This window comes from Homo sapiens, chromosome 3 (genome assembly GCF_000001405.40).
Source record: "Homo sapiens chromosome 3, GRCh38.p14 Primary Assembly".
Taxonomy (NCBI): Eukaryota; Metazoa; Chordata; class Mammalia; order Primates; family Hominidae; genus Homo; species Homo sapiens.
The window spans coordinates 175802395-175827490 of record NC_000003.12 but is presented as its reverse complement, the minus strand read 5'-3'; the positions used below and the strand labels follow the sequence as shown (position 1 = coordinate 175827490).

At 35.3% G+C, this 25096-nt stretch overlaps 1 protein-coding gene and 1 long non-coding RNA gene across 22 annotated transcripts in view, besides 1 other annotated feature; both read right to left on the bottom strand.

Moving 5' to 3' along the window:
- Nucleotides 1-529: 529 nt before the first annotated feature.
- On the bottom strand, nt 530-6661 carry LOC124909459 (uncharacterized). The gene is made up of 2 exons (XR_007096174.1): nt 4233-6661; nt 530-764 (listed from the first exon to the last, which is right to left on the bottom strand). It is a non-coding gene; the product is annotated as an uncharacterized LOC124909459 (long non-coding RNA).
- Nucleotides 4347-4897: an enhancer, noted in NCBI's record as "NANOG-H3K27ac hESC enhancer chr3:175540382-175540932 (GRCh37/hg19 assembly coordinates)". NCBI's record gives its function as "activates a minimal SCP1, AML or CMV promoter by ChIP-STARR-seq in naive H9 embryonic stem cells {active_cell/tissue: H9 hESC(naive)}" and the evidence as "EXISTENCE:reporter gene assay evidence [ECO:0000049][PMID:30033119]".
- Nucleotides 6662-16942: 10281 nt separating the features above from the next.
- The window catches only part of NAALADL2 (N-acetylated alpha-linked acidic dipeptidase like 2), a 1369567-nt gene continuing 1361413 nt past the window's right edge, over nt 16943-25096 (bottom strand). For all 21 annotated transcript variants that reach the window (XM_017006077.3, XM_047447876.1, XM_017006075.3 and 18 more), the window contains one exon: nt 16943-24486. In XM_017006077.3, the coding sequence (XP_016861566.1) occupies nt 24288-24486 (199 nt within the window). In that variant the 3' untranslated portion in view covers nt 16943-24287. The remainder of the gene's footprint in view (nt 24487-25096) is intronic.

Sequence of the window (25096 nt, the reverse complement as noted above, 5' to 3'; positions counted from 1 at the left end):
CTGACATAGGCTACAACAGAAGTCTTAATAAAATTCTGTGAGATTATTGTAGAAGAAGAAATTAATTCTGTGGATATAGTTTTGACTAGGTAAACGTAGTTTTCAGATAAAAAGGTAATATTTAAAATTAACATTGAACTATGGAGAGGAGTTTGAAATGTGAAGATATGTATGGTAAAATTTCATGTTAGTAGATAAAGGGCATGAATGGGTCATGTCCATTTTAAGTATGTTTCATGGTGCAGGGACAGTAAAATAGGATTGTTTGAATCTCAGTTGTATGTTACATAGTTCTCAGTTGTATATTACATAGTTCACATATGATCAAGCTTAACTTTTCTGGGCTCAAGACTTCTCAACAGTAAAATGGGGATGTTAATACCTATGTTCATGGTCTGAAAATCAAATCATGTGACTGGTTTGATTAAAATTTTAATTTTTGCCAATTCCTTCTTTCCACTATTCTCTGTCAAAGCCCCATCAACAGCGGAACAAGAGGCTTCCTAGAGGACATCTTTGTGTGACGTCATCTTTTCTTTCACCTTTCCACTTTTATTAAAACAATCTCATTTCAGTCAACACTTTGTTTAAACTTTAGCAATTTTCAATCTTACATTTGATTCAAAGCCTTCCTTCTTTCTCCAGTACAGAAACCTTTGTCTCCAATGGCTTGGAGCAGAAGGATGAGAAAGGGAGGAGGTTTGTTGTATTTCCCAGATTCCTCTCCTGTCTTCTGTTCCCTTTTTCTTCTCATGGTATTTGTCCTGGAGCAAAGAAGATAGATTGTTCAATGGATTAATCCACAGATAGAGCACATGGGTTGTTTTCTACAAAATCTTTCATAGTCTATAGGAAAATTGTACTGTTCTTTTTTATCTTGTTTACTTATAGTATTTTTGTATGCATATTTATTTTTTCTCACAAATATATCAGTTGGACTTTCTTGAACTCTTAACAGATGGCTTCTGGAAAGAAGCACAGAGAGACTAGAATGGTTTTTCAGACACTGATTCCTCCCTTCTTCCAGCTCAAGAGATCCCTGTTCTTCTTCTATATCAGTGGACCATTTCCTTCTGATAAATGGCACAAATGCACCTCTTGGTTTAGAAGAGCATATCCCTCCAGGTCTTTTCTTTCCTAGTTTTCTCACAGGCTGCCATCAATAAATGATCCAGATCTGATCACCTTTTTTTTTTTTTTTGTAATGTTTTCTGGGACTCCTCTGGGTCCACTGAGCAATTTCTAAGCCTACTTGTTCTTCTTAAACTGTATCATCTCAGCTGAGCTCACAGCACTTACCTCTTAGAATGGGCCTTCCTACTCTTTTGGGGTGTGAATATTTTTCAGCGATTTCTGACATATTTCATTAATTAGGCCCCCCTTGGCACTCCCATTTTCTCCACAGTATCATTTCAACTTCTTGTGTTGGCTTCCTGTCAGCCTCTGACTTTGGTCACTTACATATAATTTGCAGCTTGTACGTTTTCTTCAAATTGATCTAAACCACAATTTGGATATACTGCATATTTTTCTTTTTTTTTTTCCAGACAAAAAAATGTGGGAATATTCAAACCTAAGCTCCTAATGTGTTCCTACGAGAAGTACACATCTGAATTTTATGACAACACTATCCTCATATATCTCTCAAATTTAAAAATGCACTTAATATATCACTCCAATGTGCTTACTGTTGGTAGTTAAGATTCTCTCTTAGACTCTGCTGCCTCTAATATGTATAGACTTCGGTAGCAAGGGAGAGCAAGAAGGTGAGTTTGTGAGAATGAAAAAAATGCCAAGGTGTAGAGGTGTAGACTGTCAGGCCTCTGAGCCCAAGCTAAGCCATCATATCCCCTGTGACCTGCATGTATACATCCAGATGGCCTGCAGCAAGTGAAGAATCACAAAAGAAGTGAAAATGGCTGATTCCTGCCTTAACTGATGGCATTCTACCATTGTGATTTGTTCCTGTCCCATCTTAACTGAGCAATTAACCTTGTGAAATTCCTTCTCCTGGCTCAGAAGCTCCCCCACTGAGCACCTTGTGACCCCCGTCCCTGCCTGCAAGAGAAAAACCCCCTTTGACTGTAATTTTCCACTGCCCACCCAAATCCTATAAAACTGCCCCACCCCTATCTTCCGCGCTGACTCTCTTTTCGGACTCAGCCCGCCTGCATCCAGGTGATTAAAAAGCTTTATTGCTCACACAAAGCCTGTTTGGTGCTCTCTTCACAGGGACGTGTGTGACACAGACTACTGTGTTTTCTGATCACAGGTACTCCCCATGTGTCCCTGGTATGCCCAGTCTTCTAGATAAATCTCTCTCTCTCTGAAAGAACTCACTTCACCTACTGCTTAAACTTGGGGGCTGATAACCCAGCTGGACCTTCATGGAAAAAAGGTGGTCATATGCAGATGTTGCCCCATTTGGATGGTCTGTGTTGGGTCACAATTTTCACCCTCAGTTGCTCCTGGCTTTCCTCCATCTCTGGTTAGCCTTAGTGGGGGTCATGTGCCCAGGACATTTCTCTTCTCTATGCACTCCTGGGTTTCTGGAAATTTGCGTGGTTTCTGGCCCACTCAGGGATCCTCCGCTAGCCTAAGTAATTTTTACTTTTACTTGTTTTGTTACATATTTCTTTGTTTCATTTTTGGGAGCACAAAATAGATCTGAAAGGCTGTAATGTATTTTTAGATCTCTACCATTAGCTGAAAACAAATATGTTTCCTTCACTTTTCAACATTCTGGTCATGTTCCTTTGGAGGAAGTCTGGTTTATCAGTGTTCTTTTAAATTGGTGTGCAGTACTGAATAAGACATTTGATTTGCTCCATCGTAAAAAACAGGTTGGCCATCACCTCCTTTGCCCTGCTTTATACTTCTATGAATACAGTATGAGATTAAATTAACATATTTTGACAGTCAGATCACATTTGCTTTTATAGAAATTAAATCAACTAACACTACTAATTCAAAATTTTGTATATATAGGGATACTAATATAGGTATTATATCTTTTACTTGGGCAGTTGAATTTTTGATTCATTTTACTCTTTTATTCCAGTGTTTTTGGATTCAGTTTGTTATCTAACTTACTACCTAGCATTCTACATTTCCATATAAATTATAACCAATATGACAAGAGCTAAAATTTTCAGGATCACTAGCAGAGGAGGCCCTCGGTAACCTAAGGTAGTGAGAACTTTACTTTCAAAATAAGCTGATGGTGTTATATACATCATAAATTTAATTGCGCCCACTAAGCAAATAGAGCCAATATGTTTTATGTTTACTTTGATTCTAATCAAAACAACTCCTAGCCAGCTTGTCTTAGATAATCTAAATAATTTCATGTTAAAAAACATTGAGGCAGTATATATATATATATATATATAAAATATATATATGAGAGATGTGTATATATATGAGAGAGATATATATATCTCTCTCATACATATATGAGATATATATATCATATATATAACATATATATATATGATATATATAAGGGAGGGAGAGAGAGAGTTAGGTATTTTTCCTGCAAATAATTGCTTTGCTTAGCAAAAACTAAAAAGAGTTCATAGCTTCATATCTATTTCCTTCCTATTTTCCTCAAGTTCTAATGTTGTTTCAGACTTTGTTATCCCACAATTATGCACAGGAGGTCTTTTCTGTAGAATTCCTTATTTATAATATTATTCTTCTAATCTTATACTTTTTGTGCATTTTTGTATCTGTATAAAATGTCTTTCATAATTTATTATTTATTGTCAGGCATGAAGAAAAATAAACCATTTTTATTCACTGTCAGTTGCAGTAGAAACTGGTATTTTCGTTGTAAAGAAATTCAAAATAACGATTGAAATTTAGAATTCATGGCGCTCTTCCATTTCAAGATGGAACATTAAACATAACATTTTTCTCTTTACCATTTTAAGACCCCATTAAAATGGTAGAAACAGGTTAGAAGAAGGTGAAAATTTATAGCAATAAATAGAATAAGAACAGTATATTTCCAGACAAGAGCTTTCCTCAAGTTTCTTAAAGTAGAAAATGAAGTGGTTTCCAAGGAAAAGGTGCAGAAGCAATCATCTCCAAGGATGAAAGTGATACTGGTGAAGATCAGGAAGAAGCACAGGCACTCCTCTTTCTTGCCTTTCACCTCTCACCACCTCCACCTCTCCCATGAAGAGGAGAACTACTGTAATGTTTGGTTTAACTGGCACTTTACTGACCACGTGAGATAGAGCTTTCTCCGGGCTTTAGTGTTCAAGCACATAGAGGTGTGTTCTTCCCTTTCTCTTCCTTTCACGCGTGTCCGTGTGAAGAGACCACCAAACAGGCTTTGTGTGAGCAACAAGGCTGTTTATTTCACCTGGGTACAGGCAGGCTGAGTCTGAAAAGAGAGTCAGGGAAGGGAGATAGGGGTGAGGCCTTTTTATAGGATTTGGGTAGGTAGTGGAAAATTACAGTCAAAGGGGGTTGTTCTCTGGCAGGCAGGGGCGGGGGACACAAGGTGTTCAGTGGGGGAGCTTTTGAGGCAGGATAAGCCAGGAGAAGGAATTTCACAAGGGAATGTCATCGGTTAAGGCAGGAACAGGCCATTTTCACTTCTTTTGTGATTCTTCAGTTACTTCAGGCCATCTGGATGTATACATTCAGGTTACAGGGGATATGATGGCTTAGCTTGGGCTCAGAGGCCTGACATTTCCCTTTTCCAGATAGGGGCAGGAAAATAACTCAGACTGCTCTAAGAAGTTTATCTTACATGTTTTTGTTTCTTTTGTTCATTCACTGAACAAATAAATATTGGATGCCTACTTAGTGTAAGATACACGAGGCATTTGGGAGAAAATGGTGAGAAAATAAGAAATTGATGACTCATTCACAAAAGCTAAATTCTAGTAGGGGACTCACTTACACAACAAAAAATGTAAAATTAGAATGTAACTGAAGTAATTTCTGACAGAAAAGTACATGTTGCTATGAGAACAAACAATAGAGGTATTTGATATATCCTGGCACAATTTCATGAAAAGGTGAAAATTTAACTGCATTCTGAAAAATTAACTAAATAGCAAATAGAGCAAGAGCATCCGCTGCATTGGGAATAGTATGTATAAAGCATGGTGCCAGGAAGGTGCTGGGAGAGTTCAAGATTATGATAGAAGGCCAGTGAGACTAGAACACAGAAAAAAAGAAATGTAGGTAAGGCCAAAATGTATGGGGTGGCATAGGATACGTTAAGAGTTAATGAGACATAGAATCATAGGATAAAACTATTTTCCCTTAAAACTGAGAAGTCATTGATGAGAGGTTTGATGCTAAGTGCTCCTTCATTTGTTGGAAACTTGTTGAAATTTGATTTTTAAAAATTGTGTTTTAGTTTGTTTTACTTCCTTGAACTTTTAGGATTATCTAAATTGGTACTTTAAAATTTTTTCAGCATGTCTACAATGACCAACTGTTTTTTTCACTTTGCTAGGAAATCAGTGGGACCTTAAAGTGACTATCCTTCATACTAAATTATATCCTCTATTATTTTTATTTTCCCTCACTTTTCTGTTCTTTCTTTCAAACTCTTTGTAAATATTTTAATTAACTGCATTAAATTGTACGAATTACATAATTACATAAATTACATAAATCTACACATAATAAAATTCACTAATTTTAAATGCATAATTTAATGAGACTTGACAAATCTAAATACTTATGTAGCCACCCCCGCAGTCAAGATACAGAATGTGTACATTACTTCAAAAGTTGCCCGTTGCCCATTTTGCAATCAAACCCTTACCCCTATATCTAGCTGCTAGCAAACTCTGATTGGCTTCTGTCACTACAGTCTTTACTTTTCTAGAATTTCACATAAATACAATCTTACATGATATAATTATCAAGCAGCTCCAAAGCAATATCAACACAGTGGGTGAAGCTGCTAGATTGACTTGCCACGGGCTCATACATTTAACCAATAAGAAGAGAGTGTCCCAGTTGGATTTGAAAGTTTATTACACACAACACAGCCGGCATTATGAGGTGTATGTTCTCATCCATTCACTTTGTCCCATCAAACATGCTGGTGGTGTGAAGGCAGACCCAGCAGGGTGCTGCACACCAGTGGGTCTATGTAAACCCAGAGTTTAGCATACCTCCAATCTTTTAACTGGACTACTGGTAAAACTGCACAACCTTTGACCCAAGTGGGAGAAAATATCTTTCTTATACAGGTCAGTAAACAGATCTGTTTTCTGGCAGGAAGGGAGCCACTATCTCTTCCTTCTGAGGACTTTGAATAATAAAAAACCTTAGGAAGAGAATCTTCAGTAAAAGCTGTCACAATGTGTGGAAATGCTGTTGTAAATTGTCTCCCAACATTAGATTTCTGAATATGGCTTACTTCACTTACTATAATGCTTTTATCATTTGTTCTTGTTAATGTATATATCAATAATTTGCTCCTTTTAATTCCTAGATAGGACAGGCATGCCTTGTTTTTTTGCTTTTTGTTTTATTATACTTCACAAATACCACACTATTTTAACTAATTCAAGGTTTATGGCAACCTTGCACCAACAAAAGAATATCAATATTATTTTTCCAACAGCATGTGCTCACTTCATATCTCTGTAACATTTTGGTAATTCTTGCAATATTTCAAACTTTTAAATTGTTATTACATCTGTTATGGTGATCTGTGATCAGTGCTCTTTAATGCTACTACTATAATTGTTTTGGGGTACCACCACCTGTGTCCATATGAGACAATGTTAAATGTTGTGCGTATTCAGGCTGTTCCACTGACCAGCCATTTCCCAATCTGTCCCCCTCCTTTTGGGCCTTGCTAGTCCCTAAGACACAACAGTTTTGAAATTAGACCAACTAATAACCCTACAATGGCCTCTAAGTGTTCCAGTGAAAGGAAGAGTAGCACATCTCTTACATTACATCAAAAACTAGAAATAAGCTTCATGAGGAAGACATGTCAAAACCCAAGATAGGTAGAAAACTACTCCTCTTGTGCCAAACATCCGAGTTGTGAATGCAAAGGAAAAGCTCTTGAAGGAAATTCAATATGCTACTCGAGTGAACAGATAAATAATAAAGAAGCAAAACAGCCTTATTGCTGATATAGAGAAACTTTTATTGGTAGGGATAGAAGAGCAAAGAAGCCACACATTCCTTAAGCCAAAGCCTCATCCAGAGCAAGACCCTAACTCTGTTTAATTCACTGAAGGCTGAGAAAGGTGATGAAGCTGCAGAAGAAAAGACTTAAGCTCACAGAGGTTGGTTCATGAGGGTTAAGGAAAGAAGCCGTCTTCATAACATGCAAGTGCAAGGTGAAGCAGCAAGTGCTGATGTAGAAGCTTCAGCAAGTTATGCAGAAAATCTAGCTAAGATCACGGACAAAGGTGACTGCACTAAACAACAGATTTTCAAAGTAAACAAAATAGGCTTCTATTACAAAAAGTTGTCATTTAGGACGTTCACAGCTAGAGAGAAGTTAATTCCTGGCTTCTAAGTTCCAAAGGAGAGGCAAACTCTCCTTTTAGGGACTAAAGCACTGGTGACTTGAAGTCGAAACCAATGCTCATTTACCATTCATCGAATTCTAGGGCCCTTCAGAATTATGCCAGATCTACTCTGCTTGTGCTCTATAAATGGAAAAGCTAAGCCTAGATGGCAGCACATCTGCTTATAGAATAGTTTACTGAATCTTTTAAGCCCACTGTTGAGATCTACTGCTCAGAAAAAAAAAAAAAAAAATTCAAACCATTGAGATATACTGCTCAGGAAAAAAAAAAAAAAGTCAAAGTATTATTTCTCATTGATAATGCAACTGGCCACCCAAGTGCTCTGATGGAAATGTAGAAGGAGATTAAAGTTTTCATGCCTGCTAACACAACATCCATTCTGCAGCTCATAGATGAAGGAGTAATTTCTACTCTCAAGTCATATTATTTAAGGCTTTATTACTCATGAGGCTATAGCCACCATAGATAGTTAATTGTAGAATACAGCAAATTCCTCTTCAAAGGTTTTAGTCTGTTAATTTACTTTAAAATTCAAGAGGGGGAAAATTGTTAAGTACAATGAGTTCTGAGTTCCTCTTCAAAGAACCAATATGTCAGTATGTTCAGCTTCCCTGTTCCTTGTTCTCCATTTTAAAGTTTAACTTCCTCATTCTTTATGCCTCCTTGCCCCTAGTTTCAGTAAACAACTTCCCCAGCCTCTATCACCTGTTCTTAGTCATCCTTAGTCACCTGCTCTGTAACCATACTTCCTGCCAAAACTACTCACCCTGGCACTTTGGCTTGTACCCCTGCCTTCTTTGAAATAGCCAATCAGAATTAGCTTAGACTGTGTGGTCCAACCCTAGCCAAAAGGGGAAAGACACAGCTGTAGGAACTAGCTTCGTTAGGGATAAGAACCCCTTCCCCTCCCTTGTCTGGAGTGCTCTCACCATTGTTCCATCCATGAGACGCACCCTAGAAGTAAATTTGCCTTGCTGAGAAAGCTTTTTGCTGGAGTGCTGATTCTTCTTTGTGTCACCAAAAATTTGTTTCCAACATACTTTTCTGATAGCTCTGAGAAAAGTCTGTTGAAAGCCTTCTGGAAAGAATTCACTTTTCTAGACGCCATTAACAATATTCATGGTTCACTGGAGAAGGTCAAAATATCAATATTAATAAGAGTTTGGAATATGTTGATTTGAACCCTCATGAATGACTTTGAGAGATTCAAGACTTCAGTGGAGGAAATAACTACAGAAGTGGTAGAAATAAAAAGAAAACTAGATTTAGAAGTGGAGCCTGAAGTTGGGACTGAATTGTTGCAATATCATGATCACACTTAAACAGATGAGGAATTGCTTTTTATGGATGAGCAAAAAATGTGGTATATTAAGATACAATCTACTTCTTGTGAAGATGCTGTGTCATTGAAATGTCAACAAAAGATTTAGAATATTACAGCAACTTAGTTCATAAAGCTGTGGCAGGTTTTGAGAAGATTGACTCCAATTTTGAAAGAAGTTCTACTATGAGTAAAATGTTATCTATGTAACAGCATTGCATGCTGCAGAGAAATCTTCCATGAAAGGAAGGGTCAATGGGAAAACTTCATTGTTTCCTTATTTTAAGAAATTTTCATAGCCACCCCAACCTTCAGTAACCACCACTGTGATCAGTCAGCAGCCATCAACATCAAGACAAGACCCTTCACCCACAAAAAGATTATGACTTCATGGAGGCTCAGGTGATCATTAGCTTTTATTAGTAAAAAAAATTAATTGGCCAGGCACAGTGGCTCATGCCTGTAATCCCAGCACTTTGGGAGGCCAAGGCAGGTAGATCACCTGAAGTCAGGAGTTCAAGACCAGCCTGGCCAACGTGGCAAGACCTCGTCTCTACTAAAAATACAAAAAATTAGCCAAACGTGGTGGCATGCACCTGTAGTACCGGTTAGTGAGGAGGCTGAGGCAGGAGAATCACTTGAACCTGGGAGGTGGAGGTTGCCATGAGCTGAGATCATGCCACTGCACTGCAGCCTGGGTGACAGAGCGAGACTCCATCTCAAAAAATAATAATAATAATTAATTAAGGTATGCACATTTTTTAGACAAAATGCTATTGCACACTTAATAGACTACAGCATAGTGTAAACATAACTTTTTATATGCACTGGGAAACCCAACACTTGTGTAACTCATTTTATTGCAATATTTGCTTTATTGTGGTGGTCTGAAATTAAACCTGGAATATCTCTGAGATAAGCCTGAAACTCATTGTATGGATATCCTACAATGTGTTCTATCATTTAAACCATTTAGGGACATTTGGTCTGTGTCTAGTTTATTAAAAAAATTATTATGACGTGCACACTTTCTTGAGGAATAAATTTTTATTTTTAGTAACAAGGTTGGGGTGGGATTGTTGGGTCACATTGTATGTATGTTTAAATTTATAAGAAACTGTCACATTTTTTTCCAGAGTGGCTATACCATCTGACCTTCCCACCAACAATGTGTGAGAGTTTTGGTTGCTCCATAACCTTGCAATAATGTGGTATTGTCATTTTTTTGTGCAGTGGTAACACAATATGACCTACTTGGATATATTTTGCCATTCATAACTGTTTTTTTTTTTGAGATGGAGTCTGCTCTGTCACCCAGGCTGGAGTGCAGTGGTGCAATCTCAGCCCACTGCAATCTCCGCCTCCAGGATTCAAGTGATTCTCCTGCCTTACTCTCCCAAGTAGCTGGGATTACAGGCCAACATGCCCAGCCAATTTTTTAAATATTTTTAGTAGAGACTGGGTTTCACCATGTTGGCCAGGCTGGTCTAGAACTCCTGGCCTTGTGATCTGCCCACCTCAGCCTCCCAAAATATAGGATTACAGGCGTGAGCCACCACACCAAGCCTCATAACACTTCTTTAATGAAGTATCTGTTCACATTTTTTGCCCAATGTTTTTAACTTATATTTTTGAGGGGTCTTATTGAAAGTACGACTTGTTAATTTATTCTAAATACAGTAACTTTACTAGTTATGCTTTGTAAATAGTTTCTACCTATTTCTGTCTTGCCTTTTCTTTTTCTTAAAAACGTATTTTGAAGAGCAAAGTTTTAAATAAGTAAGTCTCACTTATTGATTTTTTTTTTTTTTAAGTTTTATAGTTTGTGCTTTCTGGTTTTTTTGTTTGTTTGTTTGTTTTTTCCTTTTCTTTTGACAGGGTCTCTCACTCTTTTGCCCAGGCTGGAGTGCAGTGGCACCATCTCGGCTCACTGCAACCTCTGCCTCCCAGGCTCAAGCGATTCTCTTGCTTCAGCCTCCTGAGTAGTTGGGATTAGAGGCACGCGCCACTACCACCTGGCTAATTTTTTTGTATTTTTTTTTTTTAGTAGAGATGGAGTTTCACCATGTTGGCCAGGCTGGTCTTGAACTCCTGACCTCAAATGATCCACCTGCCTCGGCCTCCCAAAGTGCAGGGATTACAGGGATGAGCTTTCTGTTTCTTATCAAAAAAATCATTGCCTAACCCACGGTTATAAATATTTCTAAATGTGTTTTCTTCTATATGTTTTATAGTTACTGCTCTTATATTTGAGTTTATGATCCATTAAGTTAATTTTTGTGTAAGGCATGAGATATATAGGTATAACATTTTTCATTTCTGTTCTGTTAATATAATAAACTATATTGAATGATTAATTCTTTTTAAATATTAAACAAATTTGGGAGTGATGTCAGCTACATGGTGGAATAGAAAGTCCCAGTCTTCATTTCCCTAAAGCAACATGATTTAACAATGATATACAGACCAAAACACCTTTATAACAAGTCCAGAATCTAGTTAAGAAGTTGCAGTACCCCAGAAGAGCACAAAATGGAGAACATCCATATACAAATATATAAGAAGGACAATTTTACTTTAACTGTGTCAGGCCCTCCCCCAAGGTGGTATAGCGCAGTGTGGAGAGAGATTTCTTTGGCCCCTAACTTTATCCTTGTGGTGAAGGGGAAGAGAGTGTGGAGTGCATATTCAACACACTCATCCTATCAGGATGCTGCCCAAAAGACTGGTTTCTGTCTCACCTCACATAGTGCACAGAAGTCACTGGCATAGTTTGGATATTTAGGTGGCAGCTAAGAACAAAGGAAAGGAGCAAAAGATTTGATGGAGCCAGCACATATCTGTTAGATGGGCAAGAAGGTGCAGAACCTGTGGCTTCTATCCTGGGAGGAAGGAAGAAGGGTATAGTATGCCTCCAACATCCCAGACTTTTATCACACTGCCCAAATGAGCAGTTTTTGTCATTAGGTCTGCTATTGAACCCCTCTAATGAATTTTCTTTTCAGTTACTGTATTCTTCACTTCTAGAATTTCCATTTCGTTCTTTTTTTAATATGTTTTATTCCTTTTCTGATATTCTCATTTTGTTCATGTATCATTTTCCTGGTTTTGTTTCTCTAGCTGTGTTTTCTTATAATCCACTGAGCTTCTTTAAAACAATTATTTTGAATTCCTTGTTATATATTTCATAGATCTCCATTTCTTTAGGGTCTATTACTCAAAATTTATGTTATTCCTTTGGGTCATATTTCCCTGACTCTTCTTGTTCCTTGTTCGTTGCATTGGTATCTATACATTTGAAGAAATGGCTATCTCCCCAACCTTTATGGACTCGATTAAACAGGAAAAAAATCCTTCACTAATCTTCCCAGATGGAGATTTTGGGATCCACTCAGAGTTTTCCTCTGGACATGTCTTCTGTAAATTTTATGCTTGGAGATTTCTAACTAGATAGATTTTTAATTAGATAGGTTTCTTTTACTTTTTTAAAAAATTTCTTTTATTTTTAGGAGCCTGTAATCAATTCCTTCTGGTGTCTGATTATTATGCCATGGATTGTGACCTATGAGGCAAACTCTACTCCTCTTCTTCCCTCCCTGTGGAGAAGCTTTGAGTAGTGTCTTCTCCCAATGTCAATGAGCCATACAGGTCATAGTAAGCTGTTTCACCCTTTACCTTTCAACACTATGACAATTCCATCAGCACCCACCCTAAATGAGAAAAACTAGGCTAATAAATGCTACTTATTGAAAGCCATGGGGTAAATATTTTAAGGAAGTAGAAATGTCAAAAGACTTTAATATCACTAGAGTCATGCAAGATGAGAATTTAAACACATTCATTACACATAGTGCCTTGGAGATAAAAAGGTGATCATATGTCCTGATCCATGATATTCCCAACTTCTGATTTTCCAGAATAATTATTAATAATGCATACTTTTACCTTTAGGAAAGTGTCCTAATTTGTACAATAAGTTATAGTTAACCTTGCTGAGAAAGGTTATATTGCACTTATCTAAATCTTTGTTGAGTAAAATATTGAGAATTCCAACCCGATTATCCAGGAATGGAGCATTAGCAGGAGATGAAGGAAAAAGCATAATGACATTTAGCAAGTCTGAAAAAAGTTTAATTATGAGTGAGAGGAAAAAGGCAAGTAAGTACCTATATGTGGAAGTAGAATTGAGATAGGCTATTGATTTTATTGTTCTTGTTGTTCATGATGTTCTCTTTTCTTAAATGGAATTGAATATGCAAGACTTATCTAACATTTTAGGAAGAAAGGAAGATACTTTACATGGAAATACAGTTAAGTTTCTATGTTTGGAGAAGGAAGAAATGAAATGATCTGCTGAGAATAAAGAAGAAAGGATGAAAGTGATTACCACAGATTTGAAGCAAACAAGGAAGGGCTCAAATTGTCTATGACTTTGGGTTTTCATGTTAAATAGGCAGAGCAGTACTTTCAGTCTCCTAAGGTATTCAGGCCAAACAATGTAAACTGAAGATTTTTTTTCCATGTCTAGCCAACATGCTCAAATAAAAAAAGGACTTGGGGCTGACGCCCCAGTTAGCAATACAGTGTTAATTTGCATAATTTTTTATCTGGACTTGTATCTATTTTTTCCAGAAATCTGGTGGGATTTTTTTTTAACTTTTTCTTCTCTTTTTTTTTTTTCTTTTGGGAATAAGAGAAACCAAGCCTATGTAGCTTAATCAAAGACAAAATTACAGACATAATTTAGGGTGGCTTAGAGACTCAACAAAGAATTAACTCATCAAATCCCAGGAAATATAAGAACCGCATGTGACAATATAATGTACTATGAGGCAGGTTTGAATAATTTTCCACAGAAAGTTTGAAATGTCTTTATTAATAAGATTTATTTTAGAAAAAATAGATACCCATGGTATATACATAATGGAGGGTGGGTCCATTGAAAGAGTGAAAGCAGTCACAAAGGTACTGAAACTTGAGAAAGCATGGCACATACAGAAAAACGTGGGCTCTTCAATTAGGCTGTAGTATAAAATGTGGGTTGGAAAACAGGTAAGCACTGAGAAGGAAAGGGAAGAGTGGGAGTCAGCCAGGAAAGGTCTTAGAAATCATCCTAAGGCATGTGAATTTTACACCAAAAATGATGGGAAACTACGAATGCTATGACTTCCGTATTATGATAAAAATCTGTTCAATTTATTTTATTTCCAAGTTAGTCACGTTAAACATTTTATAATATCACGTGATGTCTAAATTAAAAGATAAGCAGTCTGGAAGTTGTTCTTTTCACAAAAACCATAATGTAAAAATTCCAGTCTTTGCTGAGGCTGAGAAAAAGAAACAGAAACTTTGAAGCAGAAAACTAAGGGAATGTCCTGTCCTTTATCCTGTGTGACTTGGATAATCAGTTCCCTTTTTCTGGGATGCCATCATTCTCCTTTTCCTCCTGAAGTATTTCTATTTACTCTTCAGACACAACTCAAATATTTTCTCCTTTGAGAAACCTTTCTTGGCTTCTACAAGATTTTATTATTTTTATTATCTGTTCTGATATCACCTTATATAGACCTCCTTTTAAAAATGTAATGCTATATGTCTACATGCTTTCGCTGTCTTAGCTCTGGACTCAAGCTAATCACCCTGTTGATTATAAATTAGCATGGAACAGTTACACTAAAGCCATTTCATGTTATTTTATTATATATTATGGTTAAATTAGCTACATAGTTTCAGAGAAAAATCTCAATGTATTTTGATACATGCAGATGTAAGAGTTAGGTATGTTTACTCATTTATGCTTTCATAGAAAAATCATTTTCAAGACTGTGTCAGCCATGGTCTGTATGGACACACTCCCATACCCACCTCCTACCTCCTCTCTCATAATGTTAGAGCTGGGAACACGTATGCACGTTCCACAGACCCTTGTGCCAGCTGGATCCCAGTTGGATCTGCCAATGAGAGGCACTTACAAGGATTAAAAGGCAAAAACATGTGGAAGCTGTTTCATTTTGTTTTTCCTGCTTCTGGTATGGGAGTCTGAGGGAGCGGAGACTCCCAAGCTTCTGATCTACACTGTGGCGGTTCTTTAAGTCTTGCATGCAGTGGTTACACCAGCATCACCAACAGTTTCCAGGAGTGTCAGTAGAATGTTAGCTCCTGGGTTATCATAGATTTCTTCCTTTATGCTTCTCCAGCCCTAAGGTCAGTAGTGTTTTCCTGCAGTTACTGTCTCTGAAAAACAGCACTTTTACGTTTTCATTAGTCTGGACATTTAATAATTTCCTAATCAATTTCCTGTTTTAAAATCCCTTTTGCTTGAAATAGATATAATGACTAGTGTAATGCAGGGAAGAAAAGATGGTGGCATTGAGTAGGATGGCAGCAGTGCCGATGGAGAAATGTACAGAGTTGAGCTGTATTTTGTGGCAAGCCAATATGGCGATGGATTGGATGTAAGAAGAGAGGTAAAGAAAAGAATCACAGATGATTTTTATTTCTTGATTTAAGAATCTGGTGTATTTACTGAGATAGAGAAGAATTGAAGAGAAAAAAGTAGATAATAAATGTAACTGCATTGAAATTACATCTATGAGCATTTAGAATGTCAGAAAATGCCTTATGGAAGCAGCCTTCCTAAGATTAGCATAGTTGAAGAAAAAGACAAGAAAGCGACCATGCTTATAAAATTTTAAAAGGCAGATTAGATTAGTGGCTGTAAGTGTGGGCTCCAGAATCAGACCACTTTATAAGGATTTTATGTTACTTTGAGAGTTGTATTTTTAATTCACAAATATAATAAGAATTACATAAACACACATGTGCCTACCACCCAAATTGACAAGGGAGGGTGAAAAGAAATAAGAATAATAATTTAATCTACCAACTACTGTTTTATCGTATTTACTTCAATTCCTTTTTATGTATAAAAGAAATAAAGCATTACAGTTAAAGCTGTCCTCTGTATCCTGTCCTTAGCACTTGTTTCCTTCCTACTATCATGAATTAAACAAGGTGTTCATTTTTTTCAGTCTGGATTTTAATATTTTGAATATATATATACACATCCATGAGTAATACATAACTTTATATGTTGTTTTAATATTACCTCCTCTGTGTGTGTCTATATACACACTATATATATATATATATATATATATATATATATATATATATATATTCCTGCAGATTTTTAAAAGTTTTTTATAGCTATGTAGTTGTGTGTATATAGTAGTATAATAACTGTCACAAGTTGTTAATTGCCCTAACCATTAGTTTTATCATCAATCAAATGGGACAAAATGATATAACACCTATCTCATAGGCTTTTTTAAAGATTAAAAGATTTCATCCAAGTGATGCTTGGCAACCAGAGTCTGACACAGTGCTATGCCCGTACCAAATGCAGGCTATTGTATAGCAGAGATGTTAGAGAAAGAGCACTGTTCTTTAGAGAGTCTTAAGGAAGGTCCAGTGGGACTGGCATGTGGCCTGAACATATGGCACCTTTAAACCGTCTCTGCTCTGCCAATATGTTTGCAATAAACTGTACTATCTATGGATATTGCTACTAGTTAAACTGAAGTGTTGTATCCTATTTGACTGTAAAGCTCCAAAAGTAAAATTGTGCTAATCTGTGCTAATCATCTTTGTATCACTAGTGCCTAATACAGTGCCTGGACTAGAAGAGTCTTTTAGCAAATATTTCCTGAATGAATAAATGAATGAAATCTATTACACTCACCATGCAAACAGAAAATTCTTTTCTATGTGAAAAATAACTGAGAGCATTTTTTAGAGCAAATTTGAGAAAACAAAACTGTTTAACATTGCAGTTGATACAGGTACTGTTACTTGATGGAACTTGTCACAAACTGCAAATCTAACTAAATGTTCAAGAAAAGAATGGAAGGCAAGGACAAAAAAAGATGATAAAATATTATAGAATTTTCCCTAAACAAGTGAACACCTGTTTGGCTGTCATATATATTATGTAAAAATAATTCATTAATAAAATAGAGTAATAACTAATTCATGTGCACACATAAAATACTGTATATTTTGTCATAAAAACACAGTATAGCAATGTTTTTACCTGTATTTAATAATTTCAAAATGGGTGTTTTAAACATTAACATTTCACGTACAAACTCATGAAAATTATGATTCAGAACACGTTTGTTAAATGGTGCCTTCATTTCCTAGTACTATGTTTTCAATAATGTGCAAATATTTAAACAACTTAAATATAAAATATTCACTTATATTTTTAATGGATGTGGTATCTCAATCCATTTGTGTCACTCCAGATCACAACATAATTTCTTAAGTAAGATGCATATTGAGTCATGTAAGTAACACATAAAAAGTTATAAAATAAATTGTGATCACACTTGGGCTAAATATAGAATGCACTAAATATCTGATGGGCATCCACACATTATAGAAATTAGACATTCAACCCTATATAGTAATTTAAAAACTACCGACAAATGCCTCTAAATCAATATCATTAAAAATCAGTTAACAACAACGACAATGACAATGAAATCTCTGTACAATGAAAAGATTTCTGAATCCAGATGATAATCAAATCATTTTGAACAAGGCTAAACACCACAACAGTTCAACATAATTTAGTAATTGGGACACCTCTTGAGAGATATGTGTTTTTAATCAAAGCAAATTTATTTGGAAAAATTTTCCTCCAAATTTTACCCTGGGTTAATTTATAAATTTTCTCCTGCTCATCCCTATTCTTCATTTTAAGGCTGTGTTTTAAATGTTATACCACTGAGATTTTACTTCTAAAATCTTACATATCTAAATGCTGCTACATTGAATACATGATTAAAGTATTAAATGCATGTGTCCCATATTAACATTCCAAATACATATAAAACTACTATCAACAGCATGTGACTTTCTTTTCCTTTTTTTGAGATAGGTTCTGTTACACAGGCTGGACTACAGTGGCATGATTTTAGCTCACTGCAGCTTCAAACTTTTGGGCCCAAATGATTCTTCCGCCTCAGCCTCCCTAGTAGCTGGACTACAAAGGTGCACACCAACATGCCTAGCTACTTTTTCTTTTCTTTTTTTTTTTTTTTTTTTTTTTTTTTTAAGAGAGACAGGGTCTCACTTTGTTGCCCAGGCTATTTTCTGGATGTCTATTAAAAAAAAATTAGTCCTGCACAGTGTTCTAGAAAGGGTTTTTCTTTTCAGAATATCCATATTCTCCAAGTAGCAAGTTAGAATATAAGGAATATTTGCCATTAAACCTTTCTGTTAGAAATGTAAACATGAAATTGCCTAATATAGACCTATCTCAGATGCTAAATAGAATTGTTTATAACACCTTTGGAATATAATTATGTGAGCTACACTTAACCATCTGGCATTTTGCTTCCTGCGGACAATTTGCAATAGCATAGAAAAATATTTTGTTTGTGTATTTCTTATCAAACAGATATGCTAAAGTTCTGTTTAGAGAGTAATAGCATTTTATTCTAACTTTTAAAATAAGGTAGTCCATTTGCAGCAGCTTGATATATAAGTAAACAAAAATTTTTAATATTAATAAAACACTAGCACATACACTGAAAGCATCTAAGAAATTCAAAATATAAAACACTTACCAAGTAATGACCATATGAGTGGTAACATATTGAATAAAGGCCCTTTGAAGAAGTTGGAGAGTTATGATTACTGAGCAGGCTAGATAATTAAATAATTACACATTTTGATTGAAAAATATATGTAGTTCATTAAAATAGGGACTCTAACTCCACTTCTCTAGCTAAGCTTCTATTCAGATGCCACGTTTGTACTTTAATTAGAACAAAAGACCGACATTAACTTCAATGCAACATAATAATTCATAATAATGATTGTATATTAATCTCTTGAGCTTGCAGGAATATAGCACATGACATATGGCATGATACAGGCACCTGTGTGATCCTTTGGGGACTTAGGTGGTGCATATTAATTAGCCCCTGGAAAATAAAATCTGTTTCCTTCTGAGAAAAGCTACCTCAGTGCTTATTGGCTTAAGCCATCAAAGAAATTAGATGAAATACTGTTAGGCTGGGTCTGCACTCATTAAAGCTTTGTCTAGATGTAAGCACTGAATCAACTGCCTCTGAGTTAAGTCTTGACTGAATGGTGCATAAGAAATCAGAGTAATCATGCATTTCTTTGGCCTTGATGATTGGATTTTGGCATTTAAAAAATCCATCAAAATTACCATTTTGGTTACAGAAAATTATGTAATTGTATAATTCAAACAAAATAATGTAACCAGAAACACTAAAATTTGAAGCCACTTCATTTTCCTAAATGCTGCTTGAAACTGCCTCAATTTAACCCTTTTATTTGTAAATTCAGATTCAACCCGAATATGAGATTATAAATGGCTTAAGAAATATGTCATCTTGCAATAATCAGGGTAACAAGATTCTTGACGGTCCCAGGTCTGCTAAAGGCACTTCAGTGTGTATATCTTTGTCAGGCAATGGAACGATATTATGAAACTAAAACTCTGGCTGATTAACAGATCATTTAAATTGAGACTGATAGATCTTAAAATTACTTCTCAGGGGGAAAAAGTTACAATGCTAGAGTGTACCTAGAAAACAGAAACTTGAGTAGACATGGTAATGACCAGAAAAGGCTATCTTTATACATTTCTTTTGCTACGCTTCAAATTCATGTCACCTAAAAGTTGTGAAGTGCACAAAACAAATCTACTTAACTGAAAATTATTTTCAATGAATGGGATGTTTAGAACTCTGTGAGGGTTTTTAAGGTCTTTTCGAATAGCAAATTCTAATGAGGCTTTTTTAAGTTGGCAATTTAAACTCATACAAGAAATAAAAACTCACCAGTGTGGCTGGGCAGAATATATATATTTTCTCAAATATTGTTTGTTTGTTTTTTCCCTGCACTGTATCCATGGTCCCATGATGAAACTGTTATATTGCTGATATATTTATTGGAATATGTGGGCCAACTTCCTTTCCACTCAACATATGGATTGGTAGTTTAAAATAATTCCTTTCTATTAAGCAAATGTGTGGCTAAGGCACATTTAAATAGCCCATTAAACCAATGAGATGACAATGTGTTACCCTCAGAGAAAGCTTAATTTTTGGAGTAATCAATTACACATATCACAGAATGTCTCATGAGAACATTTTTGGCTAGGTCTACCAATTTATCATACAAATAATTATAGATTTTCATTTGAGGCAAAGATGCTGATTCATCATTAGTAACATGGTCACAAATAATCATTTATTTTATTTTTGTTAACATCTGTCTTTCCTGTGGGGAAACTTACTATATGCTCTACGTTTATTTAATTTAAAAAGTCAATTGGTTATTCTGAATTTTTAAAAATAACATAAAACTGTTGTTCTAAATCACAGCACCTGCTTTTCTTTTTTTAGTGAAATTATATAAGCATTTAGAGAATGAAAGTGTAAGACTTGTGGTTTCTGGTCTCTTTTTACTGTTTGTAAGCCTACTCGTCATGATATTCCACAATGGTGCACTTGCCTTTTAATGCTCTTATAGATATCTTCAAACTTGCCTACATATATACGCCTTTGTTGGAGTGGGCTACCATCATCAGGAATGATGTCATTTGTTTCTTCAAACTCCTTTATTATACCAAAAAAGTGACAGACTCCACAGTCTGATCAGTTTTGGAGAAATATGTTAACATTTTCAATTATCTCACTTTCTAGAATCAAAATAGTCTGATTTTTTTTTTCGGCACTCAGTGTAAAGAACAAAGAACTGAATACAGTGGGCCCAGAAGAGAAATATGCCTCATCATTTTTATTAGCTTTGGAACTGTGGACAAGTCACTCAACCTAGTTTTCTCATTTTGAAATGGGTTGTTGTGGGAATTAAAAAAAAAAAAAAAAAAAAAAAAGGATACATGGGAAAAATTCTAAAACACCAGTGCCTGGGATGTAGCAGGCACAAATATAAGCTGCAACTGAATTGTTTTCTTAGAGATAAAATGGGTCCACTTTTCTTTTCTCATAATGATTCCATTAATAACAAATCTTTACGTCTTTCTTGTTATTATGACTCTTCAATTTATTTAGAAATGTCAATTAGTGTTTTCTTGGAAACTACGATTAACGTAGATTGGAAATTCTTAAACTTCAGTGTGTGTAACAGACATCCAGAAATCTTGCTGAAGATGTAGATTCCTAGCCCTGTCTTTCTAAATTTCACATTTTGAGAAACGGTGATTTAGATTGTTGACTTAACACTGGCCTGACTTGCCCTCTTACAGATATATTTTGCTCAATGTCCTTCTTCCTGACTTCTGGTGTTCTGTAAGGATTCTCCCCACTTTCTCTCAAGTACCCAGTCTTTGTGTCCTTTGCCTGAATTCTCGGGGAGAGTTTTGTTTGTCAGGTACAGTCAGAGAATGAACTAGCCTTGAATTAAAAGCAGTGTTTCCAGCCCATGCAACATCTGACAGAATGGCTGGTTACATCGAATGCACTGGAAAAGATCATTTATAACCCTGTCTCCTCAGGGAGAAGCAAGATATACTGCATGAGAAAGCAGAGAAGCTTAAATTCCAGTGGTGCTTTTGTTACTAACTAAATACATGACTATGTCCAAGTTTCTTACTCACTTTGGGTTTAGTTACTATATCTGGTGGGGGTAATTGATAATGCCTTCTCTGGCTGAAGGCAAGATCTCAGGGCTTAGACCAGAATCTTTATTAGGCTTTCTTTTGATTCTGAGACTTATGCTTTTCCATAAAGGGCAGTATCTCATGTGTACCCTGCCTGAACATAAATTTCACCGTTACACCTTTACCACATTTTCTTCAGAGAATATTTATGATTCATTATTTCCTAGGCACAATTCTATGTATGAAAGATTGTGAGAAGTACCAGGCATATAGACGACTCAGCAACAGCTTAAACCTACTACCAATTCACATTAACACTTGCTATTAATTTGCTCAGGATTTTATTTATTTGAATCTATTGGGGGTGGGGAGGGGAGGGGAGTGAAATGATATACATTTGGAGGCACCCTCAGGTAATCACACTATAGAAATAATGCTGCTAGTTAAGAGGTTTGTTGCAAAGATGTAAAGCAGCATGTACAGAATTTGTTGGACGTCTGCTTTAGGTATAATTTAATATCTCCACGTATCTTTTAATAGACTAATAAAAAACCATAGTTAACTACAGTTTTCAAATAGCAAATAACATATAATTTAGAGGTGAGGAATACAGAAGAAGGTTTTTATCTATACAGTGTGACTTACCTAGGTACGCAATCTTTAAACAAAATGAAGAAGAAACATGTTTTCTGTTCTCAGTGCTATTGTAGGTTATGGGAATAAATTAATTTAGAAATTTGTTCTAAAATAATGAACTACCAAACTGATAATAGCTTGCCTTTATTTGTTTTAGTTTCATCTGTAAGTGAATAACTGGAATGAACACATCAACCTTTGGTTAAATATAAGGCTTTCTAGCTTTTGGGCTTACATGCACCTGCTTGTGTATTCCCACCTCTTTTCTGATGATCTCTGAAGAGGAAGAAAGAGCATGAATGCCTAGGTATGCACAAGCCTATTTATTTCTAGACCTTTCCTATACACACTCTTCAACATGGCAAATGTTTGCAAACAAATACATTGGTTAAAAAAATAATATTGTAAGGTAGTTTCATTTTTCATCTAAAAATATGTGCACACAGGCAATTTCGATGAAAATGGATTTCTGCTTGAATTATCTAGCTAATTGCCTCTATTCCCTGCTTTGCCTTGAGCATATAAAAATTATTTAGGGTAGACAGTGTTGAACCTTATAAATCAATTAATCAGTATTGATTAATTATTTCCCCTCAACTTTAGTTTGCCTTTAAACTAAGACTAGGTTTATGCTCATCCATAAAAAGTGAAAATTTAAACATACACAGACTGTCTGCAATGTCACTCTGGCGGTGTATCATGGGGAGATATGTTTGAATTAGATAGAGAAAATTTATATGAAATACTCTGAGGCTATGTTTCCTAAGGGGAATTGCTTTATCCAGTATAGGAAAACCATTTTTCACATAAATTTCTAAAGATAAATTAGAACTTTAACCTGACACCTAATAGGTAGAATTTTAGGGTTTGGGGGAATAATAATAGTTGCTAGAGCTATTCAATGGCAATGTCAATATAAAAAGCTTAGTTTTCCACATGAGAGAAGAACTGAAGTGTAGACGAGACACTCTCTTACAGTAACACTGCAGAAACTTAGAAGCATGAATATTTTCTAGATTTCCATCTTAGTCACAATTAAGGATAAAGAAGAAAAAATATGAAAAGTTTCTTCATAATATTAAGGGGCTTTTATTGATAAAACAACTATTTCTTTCATAGTAAGTTCTTTTTGTCAGAGGCAGAAATAGAAATTTGATTCTTTAGAAGACATTTTGGGTTTCAAAGAGAAACTCTGCTACTTTACTGTTGAAAATATATAGTACTCTGAGAAAGCTGCCTTACAGCAAGGAGTTTCAGAAAAGATACAAGAAAGAAAACCAATGTGAGATGCTTTCATTTTAGAGTCCCTGCTTCAGTGTTTCCAACAGAAACAAGAGAAAAAGTAATAAGAAATATTTTTTTCTCCCTCTTAAGACATACATCACTCCTGAAATTCTTAGAAAATCAACTGAGGCAAATTAGGGGTTTCAAAGCTAGTCACCTTGTAAGTTGTTAGGAAAAAAATTTGCATTTAAATTGCTCTATGTAGCTCCCTTGAGATTTTCTCCTGGAATGCTTATGGCTCTTTTTTCATTAATACTTAAAAAAATACAATTTCATAACCAGTGTATTACTACATCTAGTTGTGTTAAGAAGAGAAACTTCATTTCATAAAATAGAAACATTCAAAGTGGTTTAGGTCAACCAATCACTCAGTCAGAATACTTGAATTCTTCATATTGAACACTTAATAGTGAAGTTAATCTGAACCATATCAACTCTCCATTTCTTTTACAGAAACTAAGTCATTAATAGCTCTATCAGAGAGAATAAACTGTGTTCCTATATGCCCTCCCCATAGGAACAAAGATAGTCCAGAACTTCTTGGAAATTTTTCCTTAAAATAGTACATATTTTTATATATCAGATTTCTTTTTAATAGGTAATTCTTAAGTCCTATTTCAATAACTTGCTTTACATATTCAGAAATGTAGATATAAGAAAAATATTAAATGTGCAAAATGTTCTTTCTATATTTACATTTAAAAAATACAATGTAATAATAGCTTTATACTTGTCAAAAAGCCATTGGGGAAAATAAGCCTTCAATGTCAGAAAATCTGGTTAAATTAGAGCTTTTGCTTGTGGAATTGTAAACAAACTTTTAAAAATGCTCAGAGTTTTCTCAATTCTTCCCATCCAAGACACTCTTGAACACATCAAGTCCTGCTTTGAAGTAAACCTGAGCTGAATTAATGCTGTTCAACACCTCTGACAGGGCTTCTTGAAGGGTCTCATTTGATGCAAGGGGTTTGCAGTGTTCCCAAGCCTCTATAAGTATTGAAAACCGGCTTGTCTTTTCATCAAGGTGGTAGAGGATGTTTCTGAAAAGAAATACAAAATGTATAAATGTTTCATGCACAATGCTATTTTTCTATCAAACGTTGGAATGAATATTTCTAAGAGTCAGTGATGTTTTCAATAAATGAATAAATTATAAAAATATAATATCACGATTTTTCAACTCCTAATGAATTAACAAATTTAGACATTGATCACCAATAGTTTCCCATATTGATGAGAAAGAGAGAAATGATCAGAAATTATATGCCTCCTGATGGAAGTACACAACACTACGAAACAAAAAAAAGCAGTTTTGATAGAAAAAGAAAATTGTATCTGAATCTGATGTTTCTAGATTTAATTGCTTATAAATACAAGAAACAGAAAAAAATAAATTATACCACAATGTGTCATTAGCAAAATATAGATGTGGAAAACTTTATAAGACAAATGACCCAGTTTATTCAACAAATCAATTGCAATACAATATATAATGCAGGGGGAACCTATAGACCAGGGTTTCTCAATGTTGCCCTCTCACTATTCTGGCTAGATAATTCTCTATTGTGGTGGCTGCCTTGTGTATTGTAGGATGTTTTTCTGTATCCCTGGCCTCCACACACTAGATATCAGTAGCACTCCTCCTTTAGT